Source organism: Homo sapiens, chromosome 1 (assembly GCF_000001405.40).
Source record: "Homo sapiens chromosome 1, GRCh38.p14 Primary Assembly".
Classification (NCBI taxonomy): Eukaryota; Metazoa; Chordata; class Mammalia; order Primates; family Hominidae; genus Homo; species Homo sapiens.
The window spans coordinates 77904823-77923088 of NC_000001.11; the positions used below are offsets into that span (position 1 = coordinate 77904823).

General features: G+C 39.4%; 1 protein-coding gene across 7 annotated transcripts in view, besides 2 other annotated features; it reads left to right on the plus strand.

The window, feature by feature from the left end:
- NEXN (nexilin F-actin binding protein) overlaps positions 1-18266 on the plus strand; it is a 55272-nt gene that overhangs the window by 16199 nt on the left and 20807 nt on the right. For 5 of the 7 annotated variants that reach the window (NM_144573.4, XM_005271322.5, XM_005271325.5 and 2 more), the window contains exons 2-5: positions 11233-11311; positions 12744-12935; positions 13138-13216; positions 13303-13451. In NM_144573.4, coding sequence (NP_653174.3) covers positions 11285-11311; positions 12744-12935; positions 13138-13216; positions 13303-13451 — 447 coding nt within the window. In that variant the 5' untranslated portion in view covers positions 11233-11284. The remainder of the gene's footprint in view (positions 1-11232; positions 11312-12743; positions 12936-13137; positions 13217-13302; positions 13452-18266) is intronic. The other 2 variants (NM_001172309.2, XM_005271324.6) reach the window with 1 other exon arrangement.
- Positions 4471-4624: a silencer, noted in NCBI's record as "fragment chr1:78374978-78375131 (GRCh37/hg19 assembly coordinates)". NCBI's record gives its function as "represses an EF-1alpha promoter that drives an FKBP-Casp9 reporter gene in an ReSE screen in K562 erythroleukemia cells {active_cell/tissue: K562}" and the evidence as "EXISTENCE:reporter gene assay evidence [ECO:0000049][PMID:32094911]".
- Positions 13181-14380: an enhancer, noted in NCBI's record as "BRD4-independent group 4 enhancer chr1:78383688-78384887 (GRCh37/hg19 assembly coordinates)". NCBI's record gives its function as "activates an origin of replication core promoter dependent on BRD2, P300/CBP, MED14 and CDK7 cofactors, and independent of BRD4, by STARR-seq in HCT116 cells {active_cell/tissue: HCT116}" and the evidence as "EXISTENCE:reporter gene assay evidence [ECO:0000049][PMID:35650434]".

Genomic DNA, 18266 nt, shown 5'->3' on the forward strand with positions numbered 1-18266 from the left:
TGGACCACTTAAAAATCCGGTTCCAAGGCTTTTGTTGAGAGTTGTTGCAAAGAGACTGTTAATAGCATGAGAATAGAGACCATGTCTGTGTGTTCAGTGTTATATTTCTCAGTGCCCAGTAGAGTGCCTGGCATAGTAGATGCTTAATAAATACTTATGGGCCAGGCATGGTGGCTCACGCCTTTAATCCTAACACTTTGGGAGGCCAAGGTGGGCGGATCACGAGGTCAAGAGATAGAGACCATCCTTGCCAACATGGTGAAACCCTGTCTCTACTAAAAATACAAAAATTAGCTGGGTGTGGTGGTGCGTGCTTGTAGTCCTAGCTACTCAGGATGCTGAGGCAGGAGAATCGCTTGAACCCGGGAGGCAGAGGTTGCAGTGAGCAGAGATTGCGCCATTGCCCAGCCTGGGCAGTGGAGTGAGACTCCGTCTCAAAAAAAAAAATTAATATAAGTGGCATGTTGTATTTATACAATATCCCTGCATAATGATAATCATAATGATAGTCATGCCTTATATCCAGATAATCTTTATCTGTTCATAAAGTGATTCACCTTGAAGCTGGCAAGATTTACTTGTTCAGGGCTGGGCATGGTGGCTCATGCTTGTAATCCCAGCACTTTGGGAGGCTAAGGTGGGAGGATCACTTGGGCCCAGAAGTTAAAGACTAGCCTGGGCAACATAGTGAGACCCTGTCTCGACAAAAAAATTCAAAACTTAGCTGGGTATGGTGGTGCAAGCCTGTAGTACCACTCAGGACGCTGAGGCAGGAGGTGCTATGGATATAATGGTGTACAAAACACAGTCACTACTCTCAAAGACCTCACCTTCTGGTCGAGGAGGTTTTCAGGAAGGTGGGTCATTACTGTACATTGTGGTCAGTGCTACAATTAGGGTAACCATGGGATGCTGTGTAAGCAAACAGGAGAAGCACTTAACCTAGTCTTGTGGAATCAAGGAAGGCTTCCTGGAGAAAGTGACAATTCAAGAATTAAAGGATGAGTAGGAGTTAGCTGAGTGATAAGGGAATGAGAATAGCATAAAGCTGAGGGAGCCAGCTCTGCAAAGGCTTGAGTTGTGCCAGTATTACAGTATGGGTGATAGAGTGGGAGGGAGGGGTAAAAAGAGATGAGGCTACAGAAGTAATTTAATCTACTAAAGTGTATTAAATCACAGAAGAAAAAGTGGACAATGAGAAGAAAAGGGCAAAGATTGAAAGCTGGGGGCAAACAACATCTAAGAGGTAGAGAGAGGTATAGAAGCCCTCAAAGGACATAGAGAAGGAATGCTCAGAGACATGAAAAAACAGAGGGAGAATAGTGTTATGAAACCAAGCAAGGAGGATTTCAGGAAGAAAGGAGTGACTGAGAGTATCAAGTGTAGCAGTGAAGTTCAGAAAAAGGGAACTGTTCATTTTATTTGGCAATATAATGAGAAAAGCATTATTAGGCCCATTTTACATATAAAACTGAAGTTCACAGAAGTTAACTGGCTCATCCAAAATCACATATCTAATAATTAACCTAAACAGAAACTCTAATCCAAGTTTTCTGGCTCTAACTCCAGTGCTTCTTCCACCGTCAATGTTTTCTTAATGTGCATGAAAAAACCAACAGTTAACTATATAATTATCATTAGGATATAATTAAATACAAAGGTTATTAAGCGCAAAAAGTTCTAGTAGAATATTTTGGGAGATTTCAAATTATTTTTGTATTAATATTAAAATTTAAAATATATGTGGGTTTGGAATTTTTATGAGGGGGTTTATGAAAAGTTATGATAACATTGAGCCTGTATATGTCATTTGTTCTAAAGTTGTTTTTTGTTTGTTTGGTTTCTGTTTTGAGACAGGGTCTTGCTCTGTTGCCCAGGGTGTAGTGCAGTGGTTCAATCATAGCTCACTGCAGCCTTGAACTTATGGGCTCAAGTGATCCTCTTGCCTCAGCCTCCCAAGTAGCTGGGACTACAGGGACATGCCACCACACCCAGATTAATTTTTTTTTAAATTGTAGAGATGGGGTCTTGCTATGTTGCCCAGGCTGGTCCCCAACTCCTGCCTCAAGTGATTCCCCTGCCTCAACTCAGCCTGGATAACAAGTGTGAGCCATAACACCTGGCCGGGAAATGATTTGGAGAGAAGGTTTGATAATAGTATTTACCTTGAAGTGTTGTTGTAGGAAATAAATGACAATGCTTGTTAACTACTTGGCACATTACCAGGCACACGGTAAAGACTTAACAAATGTTAACTTGGATTATCTTCATCATTAATTTTATTCATGTTTTGTGACTAAAGGATGTATTAGTGAAATAGTGGGTTTAGATAGGATAATACAGTTAATGACTAGGGAACAGAGTTTTCCTGTGAAGTTAATAGGCCAAACAGAGTCAAATTCACACCTTTATCCTTGTGTTAACACAGATAGGTAAATGAGTTAGCAACTGAAATGCACTGTTGTTTCTACCAAGGCAGTGTCATACTTCCCTTTTAATTAACAATAAAGGAATCTTATATGTATTTACAGTGTCTACGTAATTATGAAGTTTTTTCTCCAACATAAAAATATTTAAGAGATGTGAGTTCTATTGGTTTGTAATTTGCACCTTAAGTGCAATTCCATAACACAAAAAGGTCATGAACTTATTTTGCTACAACTTTTTATCCTCAAAAGGCAGAACAGAGCAAACTTTGAGTAAAGGATCACTTGCTTATATTTTAACCAAAAAAGTTAAGGCTAGTGCTGTTCAAATTTTCACTGAGTTTTAAAATGAGAGCTCAGAATACTAAAATGACATTTTAAAAAACGATTTTAAGTGGTTTTATTCATAGTAAATTTTTAAAATCAATTTTATTTTATTCTAAATCTATAATTAAGTCAAGATATAATTTGAGGATTTTTTACAAATTAAATGAAGAGGTCTAGCTGATTCATTTATTTTCTAGGACTATTCTTGACAGATTAATTATTCACTGTCAGTAAGCCACCCAATTTTCTTTCATTTCACACACACACAAAAAAAGCCTTTTGAAGTCCCTTCTGGCCAATTAATTGACCTAAAATTATCAGTTCTTATGATCCCATGATTCCAAGTTTTCCTCATACCCTTTAGTATTACTCTAAAAAAACTGCATGAGAGGCTCGGGCATGGTTACTCATGCCTGTAATCCCAGCACTTTGGGAAGCTGAGGTGGGAGGATCACTTGAGGCCAGGAGTTCGAGACCAGCCTGGGCAACAGAGTGAGACCCCTGTCTCTATTTTTTTTTAAAGACAGTCTCATGCTTTGTTGCCCAGCCTGAAGTGCAGTAGCATGATCACAGCTCACTGCAACCTTGAACTCCTGGGCTCAAGCGATCTTCCTGCTTCAGTGTCCCAAATAGCTGGGACTACAAGCATGTGCTATGACACTTGCAAATTTTTAAATTTTCAGTAGAGATGAGTCTCGCTATGTTGCCCAAGCTGGTCTCAAACTCTGGGCTCAAGCGATTCTCCCACCTCAGCCTCCCAAAGTGTTGGGATTACAGGTGTGAGCCACTGCACCCACCCCCACCCCTCCCCTACCTCTATTTTTTTTTTTTTTTTTTTTTTTGAGACAGAGTTTTGCTCTTGTTGCCCAGGCTGGAGTGCAATGGTGCGATCTCAGCTTACAGCAACCTCTGCCTCCCGGGTTCAAGCAATTCTCCTGCCTCAGCCTCCCGAGTAGCTGGGATTACAGGCATGTGCCACCACTCCTGGCTAATTTTGTATTTTTAGTAGAGATGGGCTTTCTTCATGTTGGTCAGGCTGGTCTCGAACACCTGAACTCAGGTGATCTGCCCGCCTCAACCTCCCAAAGTGCTGGGATTACAGGCATGAGCCACCACAATTGTGTAAGTAATACATTATATATGCTCACTGGCAGGGAAAGATAGGTTTTTTCCTAAATAGAGTAAATTCTAGTAGGGGAGATGAATAGTAATAAAATTAATCAAAGTTATTGATATCTACTAATGTTAGTTATTATTCCAGGGTTCTTCATATAATGCTCTCAGCTAATCCTAACTAAGCAGTTAACAGATTTGAAATTTGGATTTAGGTCTGATTACCAAATTTTGGTAATCTAAATGTGAGGTGATTGAAGGTCTGTATTAGTATGGAGGCCGTGGAAATATGAAGTAATATGTAAGAGAAGTTTGAAAGCAACATTCATAAATCTTGACAATCTATTAAAATCTAGGAGATATAGAAGAATGAATCAAAAATAACTGCAAGGTTTGAGAAGCCATGAGAATGAAGGGTAGGTTTTGTTGGTTATATAAGAAGAAATATCAGGCCAGGCATGGTGGCTCATGCCTGTAATCCCAAAACTTTGGGAGGCGAAGGCGGGTGGATCACTTGAAGTCAGGAGTTCAAGACCAGCCTAATCAACATGGTGAAACCCTGTCTCTACTAAAAATACAAAATTAGCTGGGCGTAGTGGGGCATGCCTGTAATCCCAGCTACTTGGGAGGCTGAGGCAGAAGAATCGCTTGAACCCGGGAGACAGAAGTTGCAATGAGCCAAGATCACACCATTGCACTCCAGCCTGGGCAACAAGGGCAAAACTTCATCTCAATAAATAAATAAATAAATAAATTAATAAAATATCTAACAGGTAACTTTAGATATGATATAATGGCTCAAGTAAGACAACAGGACTAGTGCTATTTATTATTTTTATCTCAGGCACATAAAATTAGGTTACTCATAAACCTTAGTTCATGACACACTCATGTATAGATGGATTCCTTTAATTTACTCCTTTATTTTTAATAATGTCATAAGCACCGACAGACCCACTAAACAAGAAAAGTTAGGATCTTATTAATAATTACAGGGAATCATGTCCCATCCTCTCCCCCATTATATTGTCTCCTTCCCATAAAGAAAACTTCAGTCCCACATGGCTTCACTGGGGAGTTCTTGCAAATATTTAGGGAAAAAATAATACTAAATCCTACATGAACTCTTCCAGAAAACTAAAGAAATAATTCCCAACTCATTCTATAAAGACAATATTACTCTGTTAATAAAAGCGGACATCACAAGAAAAGATAACTTACACAACCAATAATTTATCATAAATACAGATACAAAACTTAACAAAATTTTATCAAATTGATTCCAGCAATATATTAAGAGGATAATGCATTATAACCAATTGGGAATTATCCTAGGAATGTTAAGGTTGATTTAACACTTGAAAATCAGTTAATGTAACTCACAATATTAATAAATTAAAAATGAAAGCCATATGATTATCTCAATAGACACAGAAAAAGCATTAGATAAAATCCAACATCTGTTACTGATAATTACTCCAGTAAACTTAGTCTGATAAACGGCATCTAAGAAAAGCCTACAGCTAACATCTTACTTAACAGTGAAAGACTGGACATATTTCTCCTAAGATCAGGAACAAGACAAAGATATCTGCTCTTACCACTTCTATCTAACATTGTACTGGAGGTTCTAGCTAGTACAGTAAAGCCAGAAAAAGAAATGAAAGGCATCCAGACTGGAAAGGAAAAAGTAGAACTGTGCTCACCGATGATGTGATCATCTATGTATGTAGAAAATCTGATGGAATCTATGAAAAAGCCAATAGAACTAATAAGTTATTAGGCTGGGCTCGGTGGCTAACGCCTGTAATCCCAGCATTTTGGGAGGCCAAGGCAGGCGGATCACGAGGTCAGGACTTCGAGATCAGCCTGGCCAACATAGTGAAACCCTGTCTCTACTAAAAATACAAAAATTAGCTGGGTGTCGTCGGTCGCGCCTGTAGTCCCAGCTACTCGGGAGGCTGAGGCAGTAGAATCACTTGAACCCGAGAGGTGGAGGTTGCAGTGAGCTGAGACTGTGCCATTGCACTCCAGCCTGGGTGACAGAGTGAGACTGTCTCAAAAAAAAAAAAAAAAAAAAAAACTAATAAGTTATTTTAGCAGGGTTGCAAGATATAAAACCAGAATACAAAAACTGTATTTTTTAATTTTAATTTTTTTTCTTTTAGAAATAGGGACTCACTCTGTCACCCAGGCTGGAGTATGGTGATATGATCATAGCTTACAGTAACTTTGAGTTCCTGGGCTCAAGAGATCCTCCTGCCTCTGTTTCCCAAGTGGCCAAAACTACAGACACACACCACCAGGCCTGGCTAATTTTTAAATTTTTTGTAGAGATGGGGTCTACTATGTTGCCCAGGTTGTTCTTGAACTCCTGGCCTCAAGCAACCCCCCTGCCTCAGCCTTCCAAAGTGTTGGTTTGGATTAAAGGAATGAGATACAGCGCCTGGCCCCAAAATTATACTTCTGTATGCAGGTTGAATATCCCTAATCTGAAAATCTAAAATCCAAATGCTCCAAAATCTGAAACCTTTGGAGTACTGACATGACGTCACAAGTGGAAAATTCCACACTTGGCCTCATGTGACAGATCAGTCAAAACATAGTCAAAACTTTGCTTTGGCCGGGCAAAATGGCTCACGCCTGTAATCCCAACACTTTCAGAGGCCAAGACAGGTGGATTACCTGAGGTCAGGAGTTCGAGACCAGCCTGGCCAACATGGTGAAACCCTGTCTCTACTAAAAATACAAAAATTAGCCAGGCATAGTGGCGGACACCTGTAATCCCAGCTACTTGGGAGGCTGAGGCAGGAGAATCGCTTGAACCCAGGAGGTGGAGGTTGCAGTGAGCCGAGATTGCACCATTGCACTCCAGCCTGGGCGACAAGAGCAAGACTCCATCTCAAAAACAAAACAAAACAACTTTGCTTCATGCAAAAGTTATTTAAAATATTCTATAAAACTACCTTCAGGCTATATGTATAAGGTGTATATGGAACATAAATGAATTTCATGTTTAGACTTGGGTCCTATCCCCAAGATAGCCTGTTTTATATATATATATATATATATACACATATATTCCAAAATCCAAAAAAGATCTGAAATCTGAGGCCAGGCACGGTGGCTCATGCTTGTAATCCCAGCACTTTGGGAGGCTGAGGCAGGCGGATCACAAGGCAGGAGTTGAGACCAGCCTGACCAACATGGTGAAACCCCGTCTCTACTAAAAATACAAAAATTAGCTGGATGTGGTGGCACGCACCTGTAGTCCCAGCTACTCAGGAGGCTGAGGCAGGAGAATTGCTTGAACCCGGGAGGCAGAGGTTGCAGTGAGCCGAGATTGCACCATTGCACTCCAGTCTGGGCGACAGAGTGAGACTCTGTCTCAAAAAAAAAAAAAAAAATCTGAAATCTGAAACATTTCTAGTCCCAAGCATTTCAGATAAGGGATACTCAACATGTACTAGCAACAATCATTAATTTAAATCTAAAAAACAACACCATTTACAGTAGTATAAACAACTATGAAATTATTTAGGGATAACTGACAAAAGATGTGGAAGATCTGCACATTGAAAACTACAAAACATTTCTGAGAAATTATAGAATATGTATATAATGGGGGGGACATACTGTGTTCATGGATCAGAAGACTTAACATTATTAAGATATTAATTCTCCCTAGATCCATCTACAGATTCAATGCAATCCCAATCAAAATCCCAGCATATTATTTTGTGGATATTGACAAACTGATTCTAAAGTTTATATGAAAAGGGAAAAGACTTGGAATAGCCAACACAGTGTTGAAGGAGAAGAACAAAGCTGGAGGACTAACACTACTCAACTTTAAGACATACTATAAACCTACAGTAATTGATACAGTGCAGTGTTGGTGAAATAATAAACAAAAAGATCAATGAAACCGAATAGAGAGCCCAGAAATAGATCCACGTAAATATAATCAACTGATCTTTGACAAAGGAGCAAAGGCAATAAAATAGAGAAAAGATTATTTTCAACAAATGGTGCTGGAACAACTGGACATCCACTTGCAAAAAACTGAATCTAGAAATAGACCTTACATTCTTCACAAAAATTAACTCAAAATGAATCACAGACTTACAGCATAGAACTATAAAACTCCTAGAAGAAAACATAGACAGAAATCTAGATGACCTCAGATTTGGAGTTCACTTTTTAGCTATGATACCAAAGTCACAATTCATGAAAGAAAGAATTGATAAGCTGGACTTCATTAAAATTAAAAAATTCTGTTCTGCAAAAGACACTGTGAAAAGAATTAAAAAATAAGCCATAGACTTGGAGAAAATATTTGCAAGTGACATATCAGATAAAGGACTGTTATCCAAAATACACAAAGAACTCTTACAACTCTGTAATAAGAATACAAACAACCCAATTAAAAAATGGACCAAAGGGCTGGGGACAGTGGCTCACGCCTGCAATCCCAGCACTTTGGGAGGCCGAGGTGGGCGGATCACCTGAGGTCAGGAGTTTGAGACCAGCCTGACCAATATAGCGAAACCCCATCTCTACTACAAATACAAAAATTAGCCGGGTGTGGTGGCAGGTGCCTGTAGTCCCAGCTGCTCGGGAGGCTGAGACAGGAGAATTGCTTGAACCCGGGAGGCGGAGGTTGCAGTGAGCCGAGATCATGCCACTGCTCTCTAGCCTGGGTGACAGTGCAAGACTCCATCTCAAAAAAAAAAAAATGGACCAAACAAAGATCTTAGGAGACATCTCACTGAAGAAGATACAGATGGCAAATAAACATATGAAAAGGTGCTTTAATATATTATTTAATATAATTCTAATTTAATATTTATTCATTTAATATATATTCAAGGAAATGCAAATAAAAATGACAATGAAATACCACTCCACATCTATTAGAATGGCCAAAATTCAGAACACTGACAACATCAAATGCAGGTGAGGATATGGAGCAATATGAACTCTCATTCATTGCTGGTGGGAATGCAAAGTGGTAAGCTACATGGTGGTTTCTTATAATACTAAATATGCTCTTACCATATAATCCAGTAATCATGGTCCACAAGAACCTGCATACAGATATTTATGTCAACTTTATTCATAAACACCAAAACTTGGAAACAACCAAGATGTCATTTGGTAGGTGAATGGATAAACTGTGGTACATGCAGGTAATAGAATATTATTCAGTGCTAAAAAGAAATGAGCTATCAAGCCATGAAAAACATAGAGGAAACTGAAATGCACATAACTATGTGAAAAAAGTCAATATGAAAAGGCTACATACTGTGTGGTTCCAACTGTATGACATTCTGGAAAAGTCAAAACTATGAAGACAGTAAAAAGATCATGGTTACCAGGAATTATGGGGGAGAAAAGCATAAGTAAGTGGAGTAAAGAGGACTTTTAGGTCAGTGAAACTGCTCTGTGCAATACTGTAATGATGGACACATGTCATTGTACATTTACCCAAAACCCACAGAATGTACAACTCAGGAGTAAACCCTAATGTAAACTATGGACTCTGGGTGATAATGATGTGTCAGTATAGGTTCATCATTTATAACAAATGTACCACTCCAATAGGTGGTAATAATGGGGTTATCCAGTGTTGATAATGGGGGTGACTAAGCATGTGCAGGGACAGAACATATACAGGAAATCTCTATCTTCTACTCAATTTTGCTGTGAACCTAAAATAAACTCTATTAAAAAAAAAGTTGGCTAGAAAATTCCAAAAGAAAAAAACAAAACAAGATAAAACAAACCTAAAATAAATATTTAAATGATAGGCCTAAACTCATTGATATTAATAATTACATTAAATGTTAATGAACTAAATGCTGCAATTAAAAAAACAGATTTTAGGCCTGGCACGGTGGCTCACGCCTGTAATCCCAGCACTTTGGGAGGCCTAGGTGGGTGGATCACAAGGTCAGGAGTTCGAGACCAGCCTAGCCAACATGGTGAAACCCCATCTCTACTAAAAATACAAAAATTAGCTGGGTGTGGTGGTGGGAGCCTGTAATCCCAGCTACTCAGGAGGCTGAGGCAGGAGAATCGCTTGAAACTGGAAGGCGGAGGTTGCAGTGAGCCGAGATCATGCCACTGCACTCCAGCCTGGGCAACAAGAGCGAAACTACGTCTCAAAAAAAAAAAAAAAGAAAACCCAGATTTTATCAGAATTGATTTTTGTAAAAAGCAAGGTCCAAACATATGCTGTGTCCAAGACATATGCTTTACATATAAAAACATAGATAGAGTGAAAGTAAATAGCTAGAAAATTATATACCATGCAAACTGTAAACCTAAGAAAGTTGGGGGCCAGATGCAGTGGCTCACGGATGCAATCCTAGCACTTCTGGAGGCCAAGGTGGGAGAGTTGCTTGAGCCCAGGGTTTCAAAACCAGTCTAAACAACACAGTGAGACCCCATTTCTATAGAGAAAAAAAAAAGAGCTGGGCATAGTGCTGCATGCCTGTAGTCCCAGCTACTTGGGAGGCTGAGGAAGGAGGATCGCTTGAGCCCAGGAGTTCAAGGGTACAGTGAACTGTCATTGTGCCACTGTACTTCAGCCTGGGTGACACAGCGAGATGCTGTCTCTAAAAAATAAATGTATAAATAAAAAGAAAGCTGGTGGCCGGGCATGGTGGCTCATGCCTGTAATCCCAGCACTTTGGGAGGCCGAGGCAGGCGGATCACGAGGTCAGGAGATTGAGACCATCCTGGCTAACACGGTGAAACCCCGTCTCTACTAAAAATACAAAAAATTAGCCGGACGTGGCGGCACACGCCTGTAGTCCCAGCTACTCGGGAGGCTGAAGTGGGAGAATGGTGTGAACCCGGGAGGCAGAGCTTGCAGTGAGCGAGATGGCGCCACTGCACTCCAGCCTGGGCGACAGAGTGAGATTTCATCTCAAAACAAAAACAAAAACAAAACAAAACAAAACAAGCAAACAAAAAACTACATAGTTGAAGATTGATAGAAATAGCCAAAAATTAGTAAAAATACAGATCTAAAACATGATCAACTACCTTCAGCTAGTTAATATTTATAGAGTAATACACTCAGTAATTGCTGAATACACATTCTTTTCAAGTGAACTTAGTATGTTCATCAAGCTATTCTGGATCAAAAACTTTCAGGGATCTTTTACCATCATGCACCTTATGTTTTCTATACCATGAATCTTGGGAAAAAGAGCTAAAGGTTATCACAATTTATTACTTGCTTGAATCATGTCAGTATTTTTTGAGGGGCAATTAACTGCTATTTCTATTTATAAAAATACATAATATATTACAAATAAATTAAAATTTATTATACAATATAAATTTTTTTCAGGTGCAAATATATACAGAGCTTCATAATCAGCCCAAGACCACATAGAGCAAACATGAATGATATTTCCCAAAAGGCTGAGGTAAGTCTCAAAAGTAAAAATAAAAATAAAAGAGGGAAATGTAGAGTTGACTGTAGAATTGCTGAAAGGACAGTCATTTGGTGGAAAGGTCATATTTAGGAGTTCATAATTAATAACATAATGGCAAGATGTAAAACAAGAAGAGATACAATTCACCAGCTGGTCTTGGGCTAGTATTTTCATTTGGGTTCTAGGAAATTCTACAAAGCATGAGTAGTAAATTTGTGAATGATAGTGAAGTGGATGTGATAGCTAGCATTCTGAGTAGAATTTTAAATATTTTGTTCTTGATAACTCTTAGAAATTATTATTTTAGTATTAAAACAAAGTTTGACCTATACTCATAGGAGAAAACATAATTCCCTCTTAGGTAAGGAACCTTTTTAGTGCCTTATATATATATTTTAATTTTTAGCTTTCTTCTGGTTCTTGACTGTAGATACTGAGAGTTGTAAGAAGAGCTCAGTTGCTGACACCTCAGAATTATAAAGTTAACCCTTAAATGGCCAATGACACATAATAGATTATAAAATACAAGTTGGATGTGCCACAAATTAATTAAGTAATTGTCATTATCACTAGGAAAAAGGATTTGGTGTTCTGAGGCACACATTTTATTTACTGAAATTTCATTTAGAAATCAGCTTAATTTTCAAAGTGGTGAAAATAATTTGCTCTTCTGGTTTTAGAGTGGAGGAAAATCATTTCTTCAGTCTTCTACCAGATTCCCATTCTTTGTGAAGCTGTTGCCATATGGAATTCCTCTTACAGCCCGCCCCCATATAGAATGATATAGCCTTCTTACACATTTTTAATGTGGCTTAAAGAAGTTATAGATGGGAAGTAATAGTAACAACATAAATCACAGCTTGTGCACACAGACCACGGTGTACCTCAGCCACAAATAAGGACTAAAGGACTGGCCTTTGGTTTTGCTTATATTGGATATAGAAACCAGGAAGGGGGTAAAATGTGAATTAGGCTCAAACTTTAAAGCCTAAACTTTTGCTTTGTTTTCAACTTCACCAAATTTACTGAAATTAGTTTGGGTACTTTTTTAGCAAGTGATATCAAATCTGAATCTTTAATAATGGAGTTAGACAATAAAAGACAGTTGTTTTTAATTAGAATTCAGAATTTGATTTTTATATTTTACTGGCTTTCAGCTTCAGTGGAATGCTACCCACAAAATGAGATTTCATTACTATATAACAGTGAAATTTCTACTCTCATATTTTCTGTAATGTCATTTTTCATAGTTAGGTTTTAGAAAGTATCTAATCAGGTTGTGATGGTCAAATAAAGGGTTCAAACACATTTCTATTTTCTGTTTCAATAAATATTTTTTATATTGCTTATTCTTATCTATCTTTACCTAATTTCTTCCTATCTTTTTCGTTAACTTTCTTTTTTTTATTTTCTTCTAATGAAGATTCTGCTTTCTTCATCTAAACCTGTCCCAAAAACCTATGTACCAAAACTTGGCAAGGGTGATGTAAAGGATAAGTTTGAAGCCATGCAGAGAGCCAGGGAAGAAAGAAATCAAAGGAGATCTAGAGACGAAAAACAAAGAAGAAAAGAACAATATATTAGAGAGAGAGAATGGAACAGGAGAAAGCAGGAGGTTATTTTATTTTACTTTATTCTCGTGAAAATATTTGTTTGCATTTTTTCATTTAAATTGTATTTATTCACATTAACCACATTTCACATTAACTATAACTAAAATACTTTTCTGTATTTGTAACCTAATTTAAACTCTGCATATAATGTGATTTAGTCTAATTTTTGGACATGTGCTCACATTAATTTATTTAACCATCTAGATTAAAGAAATGCTTGCTTCTGATGATGAGGAAGATGTATCTTCTAAAGTAGAAAAGGCTTATGTTCCAAAATTAACAGGTAAGAAGCTTGAGGGGTAAATAGTAAATTAAATTGCAAAATAGAAACATAACCAAGTATCAAACTTTTTTTTCATATATTTTTAGGAACTGTGAAGGGTAGATTTGCTGAAATGGAGAAACAAAGACAAGAGGAACAAAGGAAGAGAACGGAGGAGGAACGAAAACGCAGAATTGAGCAGGATATGTTAGAAAAGAGGAAAATACAGCGTGAATTAGCAAAAAGGGCTGAACAGGTATCACTGAAGATTAAGTTCGTATTTGTTTCTGAAACTAACTGTGCAAAGTAAAACTAATCAGTATGTTGCCTAATTAAAATATTTTAATGTAACATAAACCTATTAAAAAGCAGCTAACCGTCTGGGAATGGTGGCTCACCTCTGTAATCTCAGCACTTTGGGAGGCCAAGCTGGGTGGATCGCTTCGACATCAGCCCGGGCAACATGGCAAAATCCTGTCTCTACAAAAAAATACAAAAATTAGCTGGGCATGGTGGCAAGTGCCTGTAGTCCCAGCTATTCAGAAGGCTGAGGTAGGAGGTTCGCTTGAGCCTGAAAGGTGGAAGTTGCAGTGAGCCAAGATCATGCCACTGGACTCCAGCCTGGGTGACAGGGCAAGACCTATCTCAAAGAAAAAAAAAAAAAAAAAAGGCAGCTAACCTGAAAAGATCTGCAGGAAAAATATTTAACATCAGATGCCTAGAAGGACATGGGCAGAATATGCCTATTTTAAGGTAGAATAGTGAGATGATTTGTATCATATACAATCTTACCGCTCTATCCACATTCCTCACCCCGTCTACATTCCTTATTTTTCTTTACAAGTTAGAGAATTTTACAAAGATGTAAGGCAATTTCACATATAAACTATCCATGAGTACCTAACAAAGTGCTGGTCTTCTAATAACAATACTTTTAAATGCTGGTATATTAGTCTGTTTTCATGCTGCTGATAAAGACATACACAAGACTGGGAAAGAAAAGAGGTTTAATTGGACTTACAGTTCCACTTGGCTGAGGAGTCCTCAGAATCATGGCGGGAGGTGAAAGGTACTTCTTACGTAGCGGTGGCAAGAGAAAATGAGGAAGATGCAAAAGCGGAAACCTCTGATAAAACCATCAGATCTCATGAGACTTATTCACTACCATGAGAACAGGATGGGGGAAACCACCCCCATCCCCATGATTCAAATTATCTCCCACCAGGTCCCTCCCACAACACGTGGGAATTATGGGAGTACAATTCAAGATGAGATTTGGGTGGGGACACAGAGCCAAACCATATCAGCTGGTCTTTTAAGGCATACATTAAGTGCTTTCAGTCTTTTTGCTATGCTGCCTTCAGTTTCCATTACCTTTCTGAAAAGAAAAGTGACGATGAAAGCAAAGCATATGCTATACTTGCATACTAAAGAAATGTATTTACCCTGGATTTGCAAAGTGGGGTACAGGTATTGGGTAAATACAGCAGTTCCAAATGGGAGAAATCATCCAAAACAAAGGGGTTACATGGCCCATGCAAGTCTGAAATCCAGCAGGTCAGTCATTTTTTTTTTTTTTTTTTGAGACGGAGTTTTGCTCTTGTCGCCCAGGCTGGAGTGCAATGGCGCAGTCCTGGCTCGGTGCAATCTTGGCTCACTGCAACCTCCACCACCCAGGTTGAAGCGATTCTCCTGTCTCAACCTCCTGAGTAGCAGGGATTACAGGTGCCTGCCACCACGTCTGGCTAATTTTTGTATTTTTAGTGGAGACGGGGTTTCGCCATGTTGGCCAGGTTGGTCTTGAATTCCTGACCTCAGGTGATCTACCTGCCTTGGCATCCCAAAGTGCTGGGATTACAGGCGTGAGTCACCGCACTGGCCTCTTTTTTTTTTTTTAATTGAGACGGAGTCTCGCTCTGTCACCCAGGCTGGAGTGCAGTGGCAAAATCTCGGCTCACTGCAACCTCTGCCTCCCGGATTCAAGCGATTATCCTGCTTCAGTCTCCCGAGTAGCTAGGACTAAGGCACATGCCACCACTCCCAGCTAATTTTTTTGTATTTTTAGTAGAGATAGGGTTTCACCATGTTGGCCAGGCTGGTCTTGAACTTCTGATCTCAGATGATCTGCCCACCTCGGCCTCCCAAAATGATTACAGGCATGAGCCACCGCACCCGGCCTAGTAATTTTATCTTGTAAATATGTAAAGTTTAATTTTCAAATCTAATTAAGTACATTTTCCACTGTACTCCAATATAATTTAATGTATCTTTGAATATAAGGAGTAAAGTATGGCATAGGTAGTCAAGAAGAGTTTTAATGTTTGCTTGTAAAATTTATTTGTATAAATCCATATGCAAGAATGCCATAAAGGATTCCTGAGTCAGAGGGTAGCTGAATGACTTGGTGACCTACAAGATTTGGAGATTCTAGGATCTTATAATGAATTAAAAATGAGAGCTGGACATGGTGACTCATGCCTGTAATCCCAGCTCTTTGGGAGGCTGAGGCAGGAGGACTGCTTGAGCCCAGGAGTTTCAGGATGCAGTGAGCTATGATAATTTCACTGCACTTCCAGCCAGCAACAGAGAGACCCTGTCTCTTAAAAAAAAAAAAAAAAAAAAAAATGGTGGGGGGTGGGTGGGGATTAATAGTAGATACAGTGGATGTTAGAATCAATTTGGGGAAGAAACTTGATTTGATATTATCTGTTTATCTTTGAGGATACCCTGATGAGCAAAGTTAAAGTCCATCAGCTTAGAAAAAAGAGGAGTTACTGGTGAGGGAAGAGAAGGAGATGTTGAAAAGAAAAGGGAGAGAAGGAAGTTGATTTGGGAAGAAGCAAAAGGAGTTTCATTTTTTATAAAGCAAAAGAAATAGGAAGTAGCTCTTCAATATTGTCTTCTGAAAGTCAACACTATACCTGAACTTCTGAATATCTGGTCTCTGTGAATATACTGACACCATGGCTACTTAGACAGATTTATCTTTTTCCTAGTTTGTTGGAAAAAAAGTATTCTCCAATGTTTTCTTGTTTTGGTAATGGTTTAAAGTGAGCAAAGAAGAAAGCAAAAAAAATCTTCAAACATACTTTATTATTTTACCATAAGCTAATAAAGAACTGGAAGCAGGCTGGGTAACAACATAGTGAGACCTCAGCTCTTAAAAACAGACAGACAAACAACTTAGCCAGGAGGTGGTGGTGGGTGCCTATAGTCCCAGCTACTTGGGAGGCTAAAGTGGGAGGATTGCTTGAACCCAGGAGGTTCATGATCAGGCCACTGCACCAAAACAAACAAACGAACAAACAAAAAACCTGGGTTTGGGAAGGTTGTAGCAGCAGCAATAAAAGAAAGTTGAGTTAATAAATTTAGTATTTCTCTTTTCTATATTCTCAATGTCTGGCTTCTCACCGTATCTCCTGGATCTTTTTATTTTTTATTTTTTAAGACAGAGTCTTGCTCTGTTGCCCAGGCTGGAGTGCAGTGGTGCAATCACAGCTCATTGCAGCCTCAACCTTCTGGGCTCAAGCAATCCTCCTACCTCAGCCTCCTAAGTAGCTGGGACTACAGATGCATGCCACCATGCTTGGCTAATTTTTTAAAAATTTTTGGCCAGGTGTGGTGGCTCACACCTGTAATACCAGCACTTTGGGAGACCGAGGCAGGTGGACTGCTTGAGCTCAGGAGCTCAAGGCCAGCCTGGGCAATACACTAAAACCCTGTCACTACAAAAATTAAAAAAAATTAGCTGAGCATGGTGGCGCATGTCTGCAGTCCCAGCTACTTGGGAGGCTGCGGTGGGAGGATGATCGCCTCAGCTCAGGAGGCAAAGGTTGCAGTGAGCCAAGATTGCACCACTGTACTCAAGCCTGGGCAACACAGCAAGACCCTGCTGTCTCTACAAAAAAATCTACCAAAAAAGTCTTTTTTTGTAGAGATGGGGTCTCACTTTGTTGCCCAGGCTCGTCTCAAAATCCGGGGCTCAAGAGATCCTCCCACCTCGGCCTCCCAAAGTTGGGGGAATACAGGCATGAACCACCATGTCCAGCCTCCTGGACCTTTTTATTGAGAGATTAACATGATTTATACAGGAGTTGTGAGTATTCTTTTAAAAAGAGAAGTCTTTTTTTTTTTTTTTTTGAGATGGAGTCTCGCTCTGTCACCCAGGCTGGAGTGCAGTGGCACGATTTCAGCTCACTGCAAGCTCCACCTCCCAGGTTCATGCCATTCTCCTGCCTCAGCCTCCCAAGTAGCTGGGACTACAGGCGCCCGCCACCATGCCTGGCTAATTTTTGTAGAGAGGAGGTTTCACTGTGTTAGCCAGGATGGTCTCAATCTCCTGACCTCATGATCCGCCTGCCTCGGCCTCCCAAAGTGCTAGGATTACAGGCGTGAGCCACCGCGCCTGGCCTAAAAAGAGAAGTCTTTTGTAATTATTTTATTATAGATCCATTAAAGATTTTTAGTATAATATATAATTCAACAAAGCCTTCACCATTTACCTAGCATGTCAGTGTTAACAAGTAATTCTATAACAAAGCAAATTATTCTAAATAAAATATTTTACAGTATACAAAATTATTCTTTTTTTTTTTTTTGAGACGGAGTCTCGCTCTGTTGCCCAGGCTGGAGTGCAGTGGCACGATCTCAGCTCACTGCAAGCTGCGCCTCCTGGGTTCATGCCATTCTCCTGCCTCAGCCTCCCGTAGCTGGGATTACAGGCACCTGCCACCACGCCCGGCTAATTTTTTGTATTTTTAGCAGAGGCGGGGTTTCACCATGTTAGCCAGGACAGTCTCGATCTCCTGATCTCGTGATCCGCCCGCCTCGGCCTCCCAAAGTGCTGGGATTACAGGCGTGAGCCACAGCGCCTGGCCACAAAATTATTCTTAATAAAACTATGAAAATAAACTATTAAAGTATAAAATAGATTTATTTTTAACAAACTTTGCTCAGAATAATTTATTTTTCAAGAAATTGGGTGTCTTTTTTTTTTTTTTTTTTTTTTGAGACAGGGTCTTGCTCTGTCTCCCAGGCACGCTCATGGCTCACTGCAACCTCCACCTCCCAG